The sequence below is a fragment of the Homo sapiens genome, chromosome 6 (assembly GCF_000001405.40).
Source record: "Homo sapiens chromosome 6, GRCh38.p14 Primary Assembly".
Lineage (NCBI taxonomy): Eukaryota > Metazoa > Chordata > Mammalia > Primates > Hominidae > Homo > Homo sapiens.
The window spans coordinates 56123857-56142351 of NC_000006.12; the positions used below are offsets into that span (position 1 = coordinate 56123857).

The following is an 18495-nucleotide window of genomic DNA, read 5'->3' on the forward strand; positions in this document are numbered from 1 at the left end:
TTCACTTCTGACACCTAAGAGTCCACAATAAAGTCAAAAGAAATTCAGTAGCATTTTTAAATTACACGTAAAAAACCTTTTAGCTCATGAATTTTATCCCAATGCCACATGTTAAAAAATTTTAATATTGGTACATTTTTCTTATGTTTCCTCTCAAGATACAAAAATCTTTTTGTTTTGTCCTTTTTTTTTTTTTTATAAATACCTTGAAACCGGGACTACCCATTAATCCATCCTTTCCATGTCTTCCTGGTTCTCCCTAAAAAATAAATACATATGCTTTAATATATTTTTGCACTAATTTTTTCTCTTTAAAGACAGATACTATAAGATAGATTTTATTTAAAGCAAAATACTAAGAGCTTTTTTCTATCAAACTCACAGCAGGTCCAGGGAGGCCAGGGAAGCCAGCATTCCCCTTTTCACCTTTTGCACCCTGTATCGAAAACAAACACTTAAAACACAATCTTTACAATAATGTTTTCAAGTTCCAACCAAAACTTAAATAGAAAAGCTACTAAGTTAACATCATTATGTAGTAAAAACTCATGGAACTACAACTCATGTTGACTCTGCAAAGCACTATTTTACCAACCCAGTGGATGCAATATCAAGACATTAAAAATGTTGATAGATGCAGAATTATCATTACAAGCATCTAAACATAGAAATAACATCTTGGCAAAATTAAAAAGCAATGGGTATTTTAAATATTCTTCCCTCAGTGTGAGGAACTAGAAAGGCCCATAACATCAAATTTCAGTGGACATGTTTTTTGTTTGTTTGTTTGTTTGTTTGTTTTTGAGACGGAGTCTCACTCTGTTGCCCAGGCTGGAGTGCAGTGGTGCAATCTCCGCTCACTGCAAGCTCCGCCTCCCGGGTTCACGCCATTCTCCTGCCTCAGGCTCCCGAGTAGCTGGGACTACAGGCGCCCACTACCACTCCTGGCTAATTTTGTTTTTGTATTTTTACTAGAGACGGGGTTTCACCGTGTTAGCCAGGATGGTCTCGATCTCCTGACTTCGTGATCTGCCCACCTTAGCCTCCCAAAGTGCTGGGATTACAGGCATGAGCCACCGCGCCCGGCCTTCAGTGGACACGGTTTTTAAGCAGCTACTGCTTCCTAAGGAATCTCTCACTGTAAATCTGTAAATCTTTTTTTTTTTTTTTTTTTTTTTTTTTGAGACGGAGTCTTGCTCTGTCACGCAGGCTGGAGTGCAGTGGCGTGATCTTGGCTCTCTGCAACCTCCGCCTCCCAGGTTCAAGTGATTCTCCTGCCTTAGCCTCCTGAGCAGCTGGGACTACAGGCTCACACCACCACGCCCAGCTACTTTTTGTATTTTTAGTAGAGACAGGGTTTTACCATGTTGGCCAGGCTGGTCTCGAACTCCTGACATCATCATCCACCCCCCTCGGCCTCCCAAAGTGCTGGGATTACAGGCGTGAGCCACCGCGCCCGGCCTGTAAATCTTTTAAAAGCTCAGAATGATCAACAATACAACATAATCTTATAGGATACCATACATAGCAGTCTGCAGTCACCAGCTCTTTTTTTCTTTTTTTTCTTTTTTCATTGTTCTGAATTAATCCCCTAAGAAGGGTGAACAGAGCTAACTGTTCTAATGCTGGGTTAGAACTGCAATTCTAGTTTTCTGTTTCCATTACATTAAAAGTTCAATATGAATACTTTGTTGTGTGATCTATACTTCCCTTTTTGCCATAAAATCCAGGTGATCCTTTGTCTCCTTTGGCACCCATTTCACCCTAAAAGACAAAATATAAATAGTGAATATTTAAGAAATATGAATATTTTTCTTATAAAGAAAAAATACAGATTATAAGCAAAAGAGTTTAATATGCCAAAAGCAAAACAAAATAGAAATAAAATAATTTAAAGTTTGCTTTAAAAGGCCCTCATTTCCAGGCTTTATAAAGAAAAATTTAAAAAATAACATTTAGTGCTATAACAAGGCTTATAGTTTAAGGCCTATATTTAAGAAAACTTGTATACAGTATAACATCAATTTTTAAATACTATAAAATCATATATTTATAACTGGAAACTTTAAAGGGAATTTTGTAAAGTTTTATATAAACTAATATTAATCTTAGCCCATTGTTTACTTTATCTCTAATTATATATGAACATTTATTTATAACATATTTGTAATATAAAAGTACTTTATATTTGAATTAAAAAATGGCTTTGCTATATTTAAAAGAAACAGATTTCTTCAACCTTTGATCCTGGCATGCCATGAAGCCCAGGAAAACCAGGAAGTCCACGATCACCCTGAAAATAAAACTGAAATTAATTACAAAGAAAAACCATTCCAGCCTAAACAATATCATCATCTATTCTTCAACCTCACCCTTGTCAAAATCCACTTCAAATCTATCTGCAAACAGTTAATTTCATATCAGCATTCAATTATCTCTATGAAAAATTATCCCTACTTTTCAGGGTTTCATTTATAATCAGAGAAGATAAGTATTTTGGAGCTAAGAAAATCTCACTAGCAATCCTGACTCCACCCTTAGTTAGCCACCACCTATTCTGAAAAAGTCTTAGGCTTTTACAGGGGCAAGACACATGAATTAATTGAAATGATCTAATCCCAACACACTCAGGAAACAGTTAACCTCTGAGGTCCAATCCAGCTCAGTAATGAAAGGCCCTAAGCATAAAGTCTAAACACAGACTAGGATTCTGTGGAATTTTTAAAAATTGCTTATCTTACTAATTACTCATAGAAGGTATCTGTTCATATGTGTCTATGAACATGAAGGCCATAAGTTTTCTCCAAAAGAGAAAAGACGAAGAAAAGTCATAACAACTTGTTATTTAGTAGATATAAGTTTAGTACTTAGTTCAGTGGGATATGTTGGATGATACTGCTTTAGCTTCAAAATCTTAATTGTGGAGACATAGTAAATAAAGAACCAATGACTTTCATGGCAAAATTTGGGTCAGATTCACTTTTATCTAGACAAATTAAGATTACACACAAGCAATCAATTATACTCCTAGCTTGTCTGGTAGACATATTAAAGATTATATCATCTGTGACTGATATAATTTTTATAAAAGTTATTGATTCATATGATTTAAAGAGTGATATATTTATTCAAGGCTTATAGAACCCTCCAAAGGCAACTCTTTTTATTCCAAAGCTCCACATCTCTTTGAGTTCAAATCACCAAACCATTGGTTATAGCTACATTTTCCATTTTCTTCATTATCTACTGACTTCCCACCATGAATGCAGAGGATTAATCTCTCATAGCATCCAACACCTCCTCCCCATCTCCACTTCTAACAGACAAAAATCCCCTTAATCCTCAATTACAGCTTTGGTTAAATCAGTAGTCAGGGTTTATTTTGTTAAGACTTGCAGATAAGCTATAAATATATTCTCATTACTTGCCTTTTCTTGCCCAAATGTTTATCTTTCCTGGAGTCAAATATGGCCATTTTAATCGTTTAGTTTCCTATAAACTGATTGTTATATTGAACTCCAAAATCTTTCCAACTGTCAAAATCACTTCTGATTGTATTCATTTGCATTGAAAATTTTTCTTTAATAAATATCTCCTAGACCTGTCTCATTTCAGTATGAATTTGATGTTCTTTATTTCTGAGTTCATTATCTTGTTTAGGGGAATATAATATCCAATGGCTTCCTGAGAAGGAATACACGGGAGATTACTTTCTGATACCTTAAATCTCTGAAAATGTCCTTATTCTATTCATTTATATAATTGATGATAATTTAGAATTTTTAAATCAGACGTTTGAAGGCTCTGCTTCACTCAGTTCTTGAGTTCAATGTCACTAATAAGACGTGTGAAGTCTGATTCCTGAACATTTGTATGTAGCCTTTTGTTTCTTGTGTGTTTTTTGGAGCCTGGAGTGGGAGGGTAGGGATGGTAGGACTGGTGCAGTTTTTTCCCAAAGAAGCTTGCAGATCTTCCTCTTGTTTCCAGTGTCTTGAAGTATTATGCTATTATACACTGGTGTGGTCTATAATCATCCATTATGCTAGGTACTCTATAGGCCTTTTCATCTATAGAGAACTCATGCCCATAAACGTGGACATCCCAGACTACACTTCCAAGCTCCATCCCCATCCATACGTCACATAAACAGGCTCCTCTCAGCCACCTGTAAGCATAGGGGTGGACACACAATTGTGCTGGAAGGTCTTTAGGAAGACAAAGGCAGGAAAGGGGACGGCAAACCCTGGAAATGGGATTGGGGTAGATTGTTCAGGGACTGTCAGAATCTAAGATCCAGAATGTGTTTTTTGTTTGCTTGTTTTTGGTTAAGCTCAATGGTGTGATGGAATGTGTTCTTCAGGTTCTGAAGACTCCTCACTCAACACTGAGGAACACAGCTGAAGCAGGGTGTAGCAGGGGTTCTGCCTCCCTGAAAGCATTCATGACAGGGTTTTTTCAAGTCTTCCTCTCCCTGTCTTGTATCAGTTTCTTCCAAGACTTTCTGTTTGTTGATCTTTAACGTTCCTGTGATATTTGGTGATTCTTTATTGTCAGCTCATATGGAAGGTGATAGGAGAATCTCTCCGTGGGTAGAGTTCAATGACTCTGAACTTCACTGTAATGTGGTCTGGCTGTGCCATTTCATTGGATGCTGTTCTAGATGTCAGTAGACTTCCCATACAAGGATCTTCTATGTCTCTAGTTTATAGGACTGGCTGACCGCATTCTGGAGGCCACGTAGAGAAAGAGGAGAAGGAGGTCGCCACATGAGTAAACTATCACCAATTCCCATTGTTTTTGTTCTGTTTTGTTTTTTGAGATGGAGTTTCGCTCTTTCGCCCAGGCTGGAGTGAAGTGGTGTGATCGCGGCTCACTGCAACCTCTGCCCCCCAGGCTCAGGTGATTCTCCTGCCTCAGCCTCCTGAGTAGCCGGGATTACAGGTACCCACCACCATGCCTGGCTAATTTTTGTATTTTTAGTAGAGACAGGGTTTCACCCTGTTGGCCATGGTGGTCTCAAACTCCTGACCTCAGGTGATCTACCTGCCTCGGCCTCCCAAAGTGCTAGGATTACAGGCATGAGCCACCATGCTCAGCCTACTCCTATTGTTTTAATTTTAGTACAACTCTCCCTCCTCTCCCCAGGCTAGAGACCCTCAGCTTTCTCTTCTCCAGAAAATAAACTTTCGTGTTTCTGCTACGGTGGAGGACAGATTCACTTGGCTACACAGAGTTGAGGAAGGGATAGTGGGATTTAACTCTTCTTAAATGGACATTCAGTCATGTTTGCATTTTTAGCTCTGCTTTCACCTCCACTTTAGAAACATTGATATTATCATTTCCGGAACCTGTGGAGTATCTGTGCATATGTGTGCATGTGTACATATAAGTGTGTGTGTGTACTGGCAAAAGGGGGGCCTCTGTTATATAAATCAGATCTCTTCTAATTTTAGGATTCAGCTTCCCAGTATCCTAGAATGCAGATAATACAGTAACTGGTGATATAACCTTGACTTTATAAGTGACAGCAACACTCAGAGAGACTAGAGCAACAAGAGGGAAAAACACAAGTGCCTGAATGACTTTGTAGACAACCAATTATATGAGAAAAATAAACTTCTTTCTCATTTAAACTACTGCATTTGGTCTATTTGTTATAGATCTTTGCCACCCACCTAACAAATACAAAGAATAACTATGTTTCCAGTCTAAAAGGAATCATATTTTTTAGCTTATACTAAATGTCTTTCTCAAGAATAATTGCTTCCTCTGTCACGTGCGTGCGTGTGTGTGTGTTGCTTCCTCTGTCACGTGCGTGCGTGTGTGTGTGTGTGTGTGTGTGTGAGAGAGAGAGAGAGAGAGAGAGACAGACAGACAGAAAGATAGGTAGGGAGAGAAAAGACCCAATAAAAGCCTATAACACCCTAGAACGAATTATTCCCCAAATTCAACAATTTACCCAAACAGAGGACAAAAGAAAAAATAAATTTTAGGGGAAGACCAAATGACACAAGAAAACTGGGTATTCTTTCCCCTACCATATGAACTCCTAATACAAGAACCTAACCCAAACTACCTTTTGAATATATATATTCAAAGTGTGTGTGTGTGTGTTTGTGTGTGTCATTCAGAAATTTTATATCTAAGATCCAGAATGTGTTTTTTGTTTGCTTGTTTTTGGTTAAGCTCAATGGTGTGGTGGAATGTGTTCTTCAGGTTCTGAAGATTCCTCACTCAACACTGAGGAACACAGCTGAAGCAGGGCATAGCAGGGGTTCTGCCTCCCTGAGAGCATTCATGACAGGGTTTTATATATATATATATATATATATATATATATATATATATATATATAAAATTTCAAATTACATATTTATAATTTAAAATTTGAAATTAAAATTTCAAATTATATACATGTATATTATATATATATATTTCCCTTTTGCTTGGAGCAGGAATGGGCAGAGTTCTGAGAGAGAGAAAGAGGACTGGAGTTAAGAAAACAATCTGAGTTGACTCTTTAGAAAACACTACATTGAGATAACCAGTTAAAGGTAGAGCTAGACTAAGATATACTATTAATAAGATGGAATTTAGCTGGGTAATGAATGTTTAATAAAACTATAGAAGAAAGAGGTAAGCTGAGATTCCCTATTAAGGCTGAACAAAGTCCAAGCTATGACTTCCATTCTCTGGCTATAGGTTATAAAAGACATAATATCCAAACTTTCTTTTATTGGAGATGGCAAACAGATCTCAGATGAAGTAGGAAGACTAGGAACATCCACTCATGTTGGGACAGAAAAAAATACGAGGTCTGGACAAAGCTACTCTTATGTGCCGAAGGAAGATTTTTAAGTATAATAAAAAGGTGTAGTATTCATGTTAACATAAATCAGTGTGAGAGAGAGAGAAAGAAGGAGAGAGCGAGCAGCAACAAGTTGTCAGCAAAACTGTTGGGGAATATTGAAACAGTATGTACAAAATATGGAACACAAAAAAGTATGGCTCAAACACATTATACTCAATCAAGTTATTTATAAGGTTTAACAGCAATGGATAGCAAAGAAGAGATAAAGTTGGGCCAAAGCCTATCCAGGATGGGCATGTAACATAAAAGATAAATGGCTCCTGTGTTGGCCTCTGAGCCACTGGGTCATTTGTTACTATAATGCAGCTTAGCCTAAGTTAATTAGTACAGTTGGAATATTAGAAATAGGAGGCTGCCAAAACAACAATATTAAAATGTATATATGTCATTGGCTTTGGGGACAGGTAGTGAGCAATGAAAAACAATTACTGAAGGTTGAAAAAATGGTGTCTTATGTAAAATTGTGGTGAAATAATTGATAAAAAGCCTTGCTTGTAATAACTTGCAAAGGCAAATAATGTATCAAATGAACTTATAGCTAGAGGTAAAGAACTGAGAAAACAGAATGTAAATATATATTATGAATTGACTGTTATTGGAAGTATTTGACAAGGTACTATTTTAAAAAATATATGCGCTCACAAAATAATTGGCCAGGTTGCAAGTAGTAATTAAAAGAAATAGACCAAGTGTAAAAACACTGGGATTGGGAGATACAATTGTTTTTCTCATCTCTAATGTAATGGTGAATGCTTTTAAAAAATAAAAGTCCAGTAAAACTCAGCCTCTGGGAGGGATGAAATCAAAGATGTGGCTATAAACACCATCCTTAAAAATCTCTGAGTCCATTAAGGGGAGGTTCAATAAATCCTGTCAAGCTGGACAGTGTGACGCATGAAAAGTAAACAAAGAGTGTAGTGGATGCCTGATTAATTTAGGTCACCCATTATTAAGTGTAGAGAAGGAGATGTGATTGAAACAAGATTGTGGATGCTGCTATTGGCTGGAATCAAAAGTCAAAAACATAAAATTGCAAATACACACACACACGTATACATATACTATATGCTGTTGAGAGAGTTATTATATAATACCACAGGAACCACCAACCTGAACTAAAAGAGACTCTGCCTGTTGGAGACTTAACATGAAAACAAAGTTACCCTGTATTTGCACTATTTTTAATACTTTTTCTGGACTACCAACAAATTTAGACAAATATAGAAATAAGGCTAAAAATAAAAGGAAGAAAAATTATTTTTAAGATTATACCTCTAATATGTCAATAGATCTAATAACCTAAATGAGTAAGAGAAATGAATTCACTTGGTGCTTTAAAAATATAAAAAATAAATAGCTTTTTATATATATAATATAACCAATATAAAATATATTTTTAAAGGGCTCCATTTATAATAAAAACAAAAGAGATAAAAAATTTTTAGGTTAAAATAAAATTGGATAATGTTTGGGACTAATATCAAAAAATTCAAGATTGAAGTAAAAAGAAAAATAAGCCATAATCTTGAATAGCAATTGGAGAGATGTCAATGCTTCTAAAACTAATCCATATGTGCAAAGGGATCCTAACTGAAATGTGAATAGCAATTTCTAAAAAATTGAAGGAAAGATACTGAGCTTTATCTGGAAAAATAAGTATTCAAAAGTAGCCAGGAAATTTTGATTATAAAGAATAATGAGGAAGGATTAGCCCTGCCAATATTAAGTCAGATCATGAAGTGACAATAATTAAAACAATTCTGCAATGGAGAAGATGTAGACAGGTCAATGAAACAGAATGTAAAGCCAAAACACCAGGCCCAAATGAAAGTGGAAATTTAATGGAAATAAATGGAGAAAAAAGTGGTATTCCATGAATACTATGGCAACTGGCTCTTTATTTAGAAAAATGATTTCATAAAATAAGAATGCTGGTATGGTTTGGCTGTGTCCCCACCCAAATCTCATTTTGAATTGTACCTCCCACAATTCCCACTTGTCATGGGAGGAACCCAGTGGGAGGTAATTGAATCATAGGGGCGGGTCTTTCACGTGCTGCTCTCATGATAGTGAATATGTCTCATAAGATCTGATGGTTTTAAAAATGCGAGTTTCCCTCCACAAGCTGGCTGTTTTCCTGCTGCCATTCATGTAAGACTTGACTTGCTCCTCCTTGCCCTCCACCATGATTGTGAGGCCTCCCCAGCCACATGAAACTGTCAGTCCATTAAACCTCTTTCTTTTGTAAATTGCCCAGTCTCAGCTATGTCTTTATCAGCAGTGTGAAAATGAACTAATCCATTAATTGGTACCAGTAGAGTAGGGTGCTGCTGAAAAGATAACCAAAAATGTGGAAGCAACTTTGGAACTGGGTAACCGGCAGAGGTTGGAACAGTTTGGAGGGCTCAGAAGAACACAGAAAAATGTGAGAAAGTTTTGAACTCCCCAGAGACTTGTTGAATGGCTTTGACCAAAATGCTGACAATGACATGGACAATGAAACCCAGGTTCAGGTGATCTCAGATGGAGATGAGAAACTTGTTGGGAACTGGAGTAAAAGCAACTCTTGTTATGTTTTAGTAAAGAGACTGGTGGCATTTTTCCCCTGCCCTAAAGATTTGTAGAACTTTGAGATTATTTAGAGTATCTGGCAGAAGAAATTTCTAAGGAGCAAGGCATTCAAGAGGTAACTTGGGTGCTGTTAAAGGCATTCAATTTTATAAATGAAGTAGAGTATAAAATTTGGAAAATTTGCAGCCTGATAATGTGATAGAAAAGAAAATCCCATTTTCTGCGGAGAAATTTAAGCCGGCTGCAGGAATTTGCATAAGTAACAAGCAGCTGAATGTTAATCTCCAACAAAATGGCAAAAATGTCTTCAGGGCATGTCAGAGGTCTTCATGGCAGCCCCTCCCATCACAGGCCTGGAGGCCTATGAGGAAAAAATGTTTTCATGGGCCAGAGCCAGGGCCCCCTTGCTCTGTGCAGCCTAGGGACTTGGTACCCTACGTTCTAGCCACTCCAGCCATGGCTAAAAGGGACCAAGGTACAGCATGAGCCATTGCTTCAGAGGGTGCAGGCCCCAAGCCTTGGCAGCTTCCATGTGGTGTTGACACTGCAGATGCACAGAAGTCAAGAACTGAGGTTTGGGAACCTCCACCTAGACTTCAGAGGATGTATGGAAATGCCTGGATGCCCAGGCAGAAATTTGCTGCAGGGGCAGGGTCCTGGTGGAAAACCTCTGCTTGGGCAGTGAGGAAGGGAAATGTGGGGTTGGAGCCCCCAGAGTCCCTACTGGGGTACTGCCTAGCAGAGCTGTGAGAAGAAGGTCACAGTCCTCCAAACCCCAGAATGGTATATCTACCGATAGCTTGCACCATGCACCTGGAAAAACCACAGACACTCAATGCCAGACTGTGAAAGCAATCGAGAGGGAGGCTGTACCCTGCAAAGCTACAGAAGCAGAGCTGCCCAAGACCATGGGAACCCCCTTCTTGCATCAGCATGACCTGGATGTAAGACATGGAGTAAAAGGAGAGCATTTTGGAGCTTTAAGATTTGACTGCACCGCTGGATTTCAGACTTGCATAGGGCCTTTACCCCCTTCGTTTTGGTCAATTTCTCCCATTCGGAATGGGAGTATTTATCCAATGCCTGTACCCCTATTTTATCTAGGAAATAATTAAGTTGCTTTTGATTTTACTGGCTCATAAGTGGAAAGGACTTGCCTTGTCTCAAATGAGACTTTGGACTATGGACTTTCAAGTTAATGCTGAAATGATTTAAGACTTTGGGGTACTGTTGGGAAGGCATGATTGGTTTTGAAATGTGAAGACATAAGATTTGGGAGGGAACAGGAGTGGAATGATACGGTTTGGCTATGTCCCCACCCAAATCTCAAATTGAATTGTAACTTCCATAATTCCCACTTGTGGGAGGAACCCAACGGGAGGCAATTGAATCATGGGGTGGGTCTTTCCTGTGCTGTTCACATGATAGTGAATAAGTCTCGTGAGATCTGATCGTTTTAAAAATGGGAGTTTCCCTGCACAAGCTCTTTCTCTTTGCCTGCTGCCATCCATGTAAGACATGACTTGCTCCTCCTTGCCTTCCACCATGATTGTGAGGCCCCCTCCCATGATTGTGAGGCCTCCCCAGTCACATGGAACTTTAAGTCCATTAAACCTCTTTCTTTTGTAAATTGCCCAGTCTCAGGTATGTCTTTATTGTATTAGTGGAAACACACTAATACAAATGCTTACCTAACTTTACTCCAAAAACCAAAAATTAAAGGTAAAAAATAAAATAATAAAATTACAAAAATAAAATCATCAGTAATTATAATCAACATGCTAGAATGTGAAACCTTTCTATTTATATACAAAGATAGGAGAAAAAAAGAAGAAAAAACTATTTTACATGAAAATGAAAATTTTCTCTATGGCTAAAATTCCAAAAACCAAGTAAAAACACATAATACAACCCAGAAAAAATATTTTCACACATACAAACAACAACTTATGAAATGCATATAAAAATCAATCTTTAAAAGGATCACAGCCCAGTAGGAAAATAAAAGATATGAGAAAACCGGCAAATTACAGAGAAGTAACACAATGCCCCCAAATCGCATGTCAAGATACCTTACCCAACTCACTAATAAAGCAATGAAAATCAAACCAGTATCATTTCTAAACTATACAGGTGAAAATTAGAATTAAAAAAAAAACAGTGCTGATAAGAATGTGAGGAAAGATATTCTCATATACTTGTTGAAAGAGAATCAACTTTCTGGGAACTCAATAAGCAATTTAAATCAAAGTTTAACTATGAAGTTAACCCTTTGATCCAATAATCAATTTCACTTCCGAGGACTTTTCCTGTTGATAAACTCATGAAAAACTACTGAGAAATATATTCAAAGATGTTTCTTACAGTCTTATTGGTAATGCCTAAATAATAATAATAAATAAAGAACCAAGGCAATCTTTGAGATTTCTTAAATTTGATAAAAACAGTCCCTACATCGTATAGCTATGATTAACCTTTTCTTTATATTTTCTTTCATGAAGCCTTTCCAATTTTTAACTTTCCTTTAAACTCCTAGAGAATTTTATTTGACTTTCTTCTTTGGCACTTAACATTGACTATCTTGAAATACAGTTACTTTGTGTTATGTCCTTTATCAGACTCCAACCTCTTTGAGGAAACAATTCATCCTTAACTCATTCCTATTTTTTTCTCGGTACAACTACTATTTACTCATATCCAGATTCCTCTCCACTCTCTGGCATATGGGAAATCATACTTACCTAATCTGTTAAAATACATGTGGTTTGCACAATTTGCTCTAGTTAATTAAACATGAATGGTAGTGATTTAAAAGCCAATGTTTGATTCTCTCTGCACCTGCCACCATAATTAGTCATGATCTAGATGGTGAAATATCTGTTAATCTGAGTCTCCCTGTGAAGACAATGGGAAGCTCCTCACTGCTGCTGATAAATATGTAGTTTGAGGAGCAATAAACCTTTGATTTAAGCCACAAGCATGTGGGTTTGCTTGTTACTGTAGCATAAGCTACTCTAGCCTACCTATTGTCTTGCTTGTGATTAATAATAATTTGCTGAATATACAGAATGTTTTCATTTCCCAAAACACAGTCAACACTCTTGGGTGCTCAAAGAAAATTTCAATAAAACAAATATTTGGGGGAGTCACACTCTTGGTCCTATCAGAGTTTACAAGTGATTAAAGTCAAAGAGAATCCAAACTAGTAAGATAATTCCACTTCCCACAGGCTGCTTTCCAAACCTTTCATGGCTGATGAATATAACTTTGATGAGCCTGTCCATCTTTTAAGCCGATCTAGAGTCATAGTCTTCAGTCAGGTCAAGATTATTTTTGGGGCTAGTAAAAGAACATGAGAACTACTATTTTTAAAATTCATTTTAAAAAATGTCTTTGTGTGTGTGTTTCAAATTCACATAATACTTTGCTCAGTAGCACAGATATATAATTTTTATATATGAGTCTACATGTCCAAAAGTCTTTTACTGCAATACATTTTGCAATTTAAAGGTTTGATGACCTATGATCTACAATGAACTATCCCTCTTCCCTAGAGAGAAATGTAGACCATGAACACTCCTATGGCCCAGTCAGCACGACCGTGGGTACTCATTCATCTTCTCCCTCCCCTGCCTATCTTCTTGGCTCTTGACAGGCATTCAGGGATTCTTCTCACAGTGCAGGCAGTAGACTAAAAGAAGCACAAGTCACACAGTGAAAAACTACTCTGGCCAAAGCAGAAAAATGCAGGAAAAAGAAAGCCAGATTGGGATCAAGGTATTTTATTTCAACCCCCTAGATCCTTGAGTAACTTGACACAAATGACTTAAGCTCTTCATTTTTCAGTTCTCCAAAATGTAAAATGAGGATAATTTACTTCACAATTAATCTAAAATGAGCACAGTATGACTTACTGTACTAATCCCACAGGACTTTTTGTGAGGATTTAATGTAAAGGGGAATGCATATGGACAAAATTGATGCAAAACATATCAGGAATAAAATAGAAAAGGGTACACACCACAGTAAAAACCGTGAAAGCACCCAATACATAAAGTTTTGTACAGATCCGTGGCTTCTTTTCCTCTCAGAAAAAATAAAAGCAAAAACAACAACAAAAACACAAATCCTAAGTCTTACACAAGCTCAGGCAATAATGACCTATGGGAAACTATTTTAATCCACTAAAATAATTCCTCTCTCTAACACAGTGATGGGGATTCCATTTGGGGTTTGGGATTACCATTGAACTACTCATGCCTACAAAAGAAATAGATTTCTAAACTTCTACTACTGAGTCTCTGCAGTAGCTTCTCAACGACCATACAACAGAAGACATCCAAAGAGAAGATAAAAATCAAGTTTAGAACCAACAAAATATAAAGCATTCTAAAAAATTCAATAAAAGTTTTAAGTTTCCTTATAATACCAACAGAAAAAAGAGAAAACCAGGACAGAAGAGGAATAACATCCAATAAATAAGGCAAGACATGGAATTAATGGTTCTTCATAATAAACTAAGATGTTAAATCCACTATATTATAGTTTTAAAAGAAAAAAGGTTGAAAGATCAGGAGATAATCCAGATTGCAAAAGCAGCCACAGAATTAGTTAAAACCTGAGCACACATAAGTCAGCACCATGTGTACAGAAAGGACACTCAACAATGCCTAATATCAGAGAATATTTAGGGAGGGCAAAGCTAGTGCTGTTTGGGGAGAAAATCCTCTGAGGAAAGGATTTTTTTAAAGGAAATTGCAGTTTTTGCCATTGAAAGTAATGTCAAAAATCACAATTACTTTTGCACCAACCTAATAGTAACACCACTTCCATAAAAAGTAGAGAAATTTGTTTTCTGAAAACCCGATTGTAACAACTCCAAGTTTCTCCAGATTCAGAGGAAGCAAAATATTTTTTAGAAAAGAGGTTGTGCATATGTGTATGTCTGTATTTAATATTCTTATTATTTACTATAGTAGTAATCATATCAATAATTATTACTATAATTATAAAATATATGCATATATATTTTATATATACATTTATATCCATATATGTTTATACTTCTTAATATTACAATAATAAAATCTCTTAATGAGGAAGGGGAAGAGGACAGGGCTGAATCCTGGAGGCACCCCAACATTTAGAGAATGTGTGGAGGAGGAAGAGAAAGAGCCAACGAGAAAACATGAAAAGGTAACTAGTGGCAGCAAGGAGAAATCTAGGAGCATGTGGTATCCCAGAAGCCAAGAGAAGAAATTGTCCCAAGAAGGAGGGAATAGTCAACAGTGTCAAACACTGTAGAGACATACAGCAAGACAAGAAGAAATAATTGAAAAATACTGACTACTGGATTTCAAAGATGGAAGACTGGTGATCTAAATATGCAGCAGAAGGTTGGGATGGAAGTCCTACTAGAGTGGGTCAGAGAGAGAAATGGCAGTGAAAATGTGCAGGAAATAAAGGCAAACCTTTTGGAGCACTTGTACTACAATGAGAAACAGGGAAATGGCCTGGTAGCTAAAGGAAGATATGTGGTAGAGGAAGTGGGGAGGTTTGGGTGGTTTCAAATGGATCATCCTTTAGGCTATTGGGAAAATTTAACTAGAAAAGAAAATGACTATTGACACAGAAGAGAAGGGCTAGTTAATACACAAAGTAATGGAAAAAGATGGGATCCAGACTGCAAGAGGAGGCCTGTGGACTCCACATGGACACTTCGCCCATAATAAGAGGAGGAAAGGCAGAATATAGGTACATATACGGGTAGGAGGGTAGACATAGTGGGAAGACATTTAGGGAATTTCTGTCTGATTGTTTCAGATGCAGCACTTCAACAGAGAGAGGAAGGATAAAGGATCACTCAAAGATATTTCCAAAAATTTTGCCTTAAGTAATCAGCAGAATGGTGGCCCAATAACAAATCATGATCATCATCACTATCATCACCAATTTATAGCATTTAATTTAGGCCAACCACATGCATGTCCTCATTTAATCTTCACAAAAAGCCTAGGCAGTAAGTAATACTATGGCTTCCACTTTCCAGATGATAAAAACCAGGTTTAAAGAGATTAACAAGTGTGATTTGGGAGGTAAGCAGTCTAAATTCAGAACTAAGCCTATAATCTATAATCTGTAACTGCTTTAAGCCCCCAAATCTCACACACATGCACACTTGTGCACACACACTTGTGCACATACACACACACACACACAAGTGTTTGGGCATGGTGTTATCAGAAAATCACATGGGTAGACTCTCTCCCTGTTTTGGTAATTTTTGTTTGGTCTTCAGGAACACTGAAAGAAGTAATACCACTAACATACTGTTTTAACATGTATTCTCTAACATTTTTTAGCTTTTTTACCCCTGTTCTCTCAAAATATATATTGGAGTTCCTTGGTTATGACTGACTCTATAACAGAAATCACTGTAAAACCACTTAGTTTTTCGATGTTGGAGGCCCAGAGGTAAGGAACTTTATTCAGGTAGGGAAGTCTTACCCATCACATGGTGCTCCGGTCTGGATGCTGAGGACAATGGGAAAGTGAGGCTTTGAAGGGACCACTTAAAAGTTGAATGTACTAACAAAGAAAATAAAATCTATAATTCTTCCAATAATACCCTAGATATAATTATGACATTTTATTTCTTAAGCCCAGAAAAGTCAAGTAATGAGTTTGTACAGAGTCTGGATAGGTTAAAAAATAAATTACTCATACTTCCTACATCTGTAAAATTGAATTTGCCATGGAAAAGTTTCAAACTCAATTTGAAAATTCATAAATACATATCAATTAACCAGCATCACCTAATGTAAGTTTTAACAAAAATTAGTTCTCCATACAATTTAAATATATTAGTTTTTTAATATTGAGGAAGTATTTTAAAGCATTTAAAGTATTTTTTAGATTTCAAAGAATAGCTTTAAAGCATGTAATAAAATTAGTTACCAACTGAAGACTATTTGCTGAGTAAGTATTCCTTTTGATTTTGCAAATTCAGGAAAAAACACCCTGCAAAATCTATGTATATTCTATTGTGTGATATGTGAAGAACAAATGTTAAAGTCAGAAAGAAAGCACATCTAATTTCAATTATCTTAAGTGGAAATTCCTACTGTAGGAGTCTTTGGAGAAAATCCACAAAATGGAAATTATTCTGGGAAAATGTCCTAATGGGGAACAGTATTGTGTGGAACAATCTTCCAAAGGCGACTGCGTGATACCTGGAAAAGTATCCTGCACTGCCACAAGTCAAAGTCATCTCAGGGGTATGTTCTTTAACCCTTCATTTCCAAAAATCAAGTAACCATGTTATAAAGGAATAATCAAGGAAAAACCTTCAATTAACTTACTAAATTATTTTAGCTCTGGGCAAAGAACTCTCAGAAGCCACATGGAATGTGAAGCGGAAACTTGGAAGGTAGTACATGGTGATTTTAGACCCACAATGACTAGGTCAAATCAGAGTTTAACCCCAACAATGAACTTCAGAAAACAATCAACTCTGAATAAAATCCACAACTGGTCTGAAAACAGAGACCTTGCATAAATATACATCTTATTTATCTTATCCAGTAAAATGTATGACATTGTAAAATTCACAGACCTATATTTAAAAGACAACATAATGACCCAAAACAATAAAGCAGTCAGCATAAGATGCCACTAGTAGAATTATAGTTATTCTTTTATTTTAAAGTAAGGAACATTTATTCCCACAAAAATTTAGTTCAATTATTTTAAGATGTACAAATGAAATCCCCCTTTTTATGTTTAGTGTGTAAAACTCAACTAAAGAATGAAATCAGTATGTTGGGGAGATATTTGCACTCCCATTTTATTGCAGCACTATTCACAGTAGCCAGGACATGGCCTAAACCTAAGTTCTGTCAATGGATGAATGGATAAAGAAATTGTGGTATATATACATAATGGAATACTATTCAGCTATAAAAAAGAAGGAAATCCTGTCATTTTCAACAACATGAATGAACCTGGAAGACATTTTTGTTAAGCGAAATAAGTCAGGGACAAAAAGACAAATACCATATCATCTCACTTATATGTGGAATCTAAAAAATGTGGCTGAGCCAATAGGCCACGTGCCAGATAGATACCAATTGTGGAGATGGTCCCTTGGGTATTGGACTATCTGAGGTTAACATGGTAACACTTTCCTTTCACATAACCCACTCCCCTCTAAGAAGGTAACTCCCTGTGGAGCTTAACCACAGGGAGAGAACATGGCATAGGGCAATGCCAAAGTCTGTTTCATTTGATAGTGGTCAATGATAACTTCTTTTATGTAGTGATAAAGCCTTCTATAAGCTTTATTGTCTAATAGCCACTGACAAATTTCTGAGCCCACAAATCTTAGAATTCACCAAGACGCAGACTATTGAATGGAAACCATCACAGCTAACATCCTTTATCTTTGAGGGACTAACACCATTGATTGCATTTTTGTGTGTGTTTACCTTGTCACCATCTCGCCCTGGTTCTCCTTTGTAACCTGGTAGTCCTCGAGCTCCCTAAATTAACCAGAAAATAAAATTTTGTTAATTATCGGTTTTAGTTCACTAAAAATAAAATTTATAAAATGTATATAAGTGGATCACATACTTGTATTCCTGGAGATCCTGGAACACCTGGTGTCCCTGCAATTCCCTGATATCCCTAAAGAAAAATTTAAAAAGAAAAAAAATAATATTTCATCATATTTACCAAGAGAAGTTCTTCGTTTCAGAATTCACTCTTATCTCAAGTTTCTCATGCCTAAAACTTCACTTAGAGACAAATCCAAAATAATAAAGTGTTAAATGCTTAATAAGGAATTCATACCCTTTGATCTTTATGAAATCCTTTAAAAAGTATATAGGGCCCTAAATATTTGTAAATTAATAAAAATATTTAGAAAATCTTAAATTAAGAGGAGAGTTAATGTTCACAGTTTCTTAAGAAATGTACTGGATTTATCAGAAATACATTCAACATATCCAAGAGAGAAACACTTCAAGAGATTGGAGGATTAAACAAATGTGTAT

General features: G+C 36.5%; 1 protein-coding gene across 12 annotated transcripts in view; it reads right to left on the reverse strand.

The window, feature by feature from the left end:
- COL21A1 (collagen type XXI alpha 1 chain) overlaps nt 1–18495 on the reverse strand; it is a 337539-nt gene that overhangs the window by 67267 nt on the left and 251777 nt on the right. For all 12 annotated transcript variants that reach the window (NR_134849.2, NR_134850.2, NR_134851.2 and 9 more), the window contains 6 exons: nt 18074–18127; nt 17929–17982; nt 2240–2293; nt 1711–1764; nt 383–436; nt 206–259 (listed from right to left, as the gene is read on the reverse strand). Coding sequence is in view for 9 of the 12 variants with exons in the window: in NM_001318752.2 (NP_001305681.1) it covers nt 206–259; nt 383–436; nt 1711–1764; nt 2240–2293; nt 17929–17982; nt 18074–18127 (324 nt within the window). In the remaining 3 variants the exon portion in view is untranslated. The remainder of the gene's footprint in view (nt 1–205; nt 260–382; nt 437–1710; nt 1765–2239; nt 2294–17928; nt 17983–18073; nt 18128–18495) is intronic.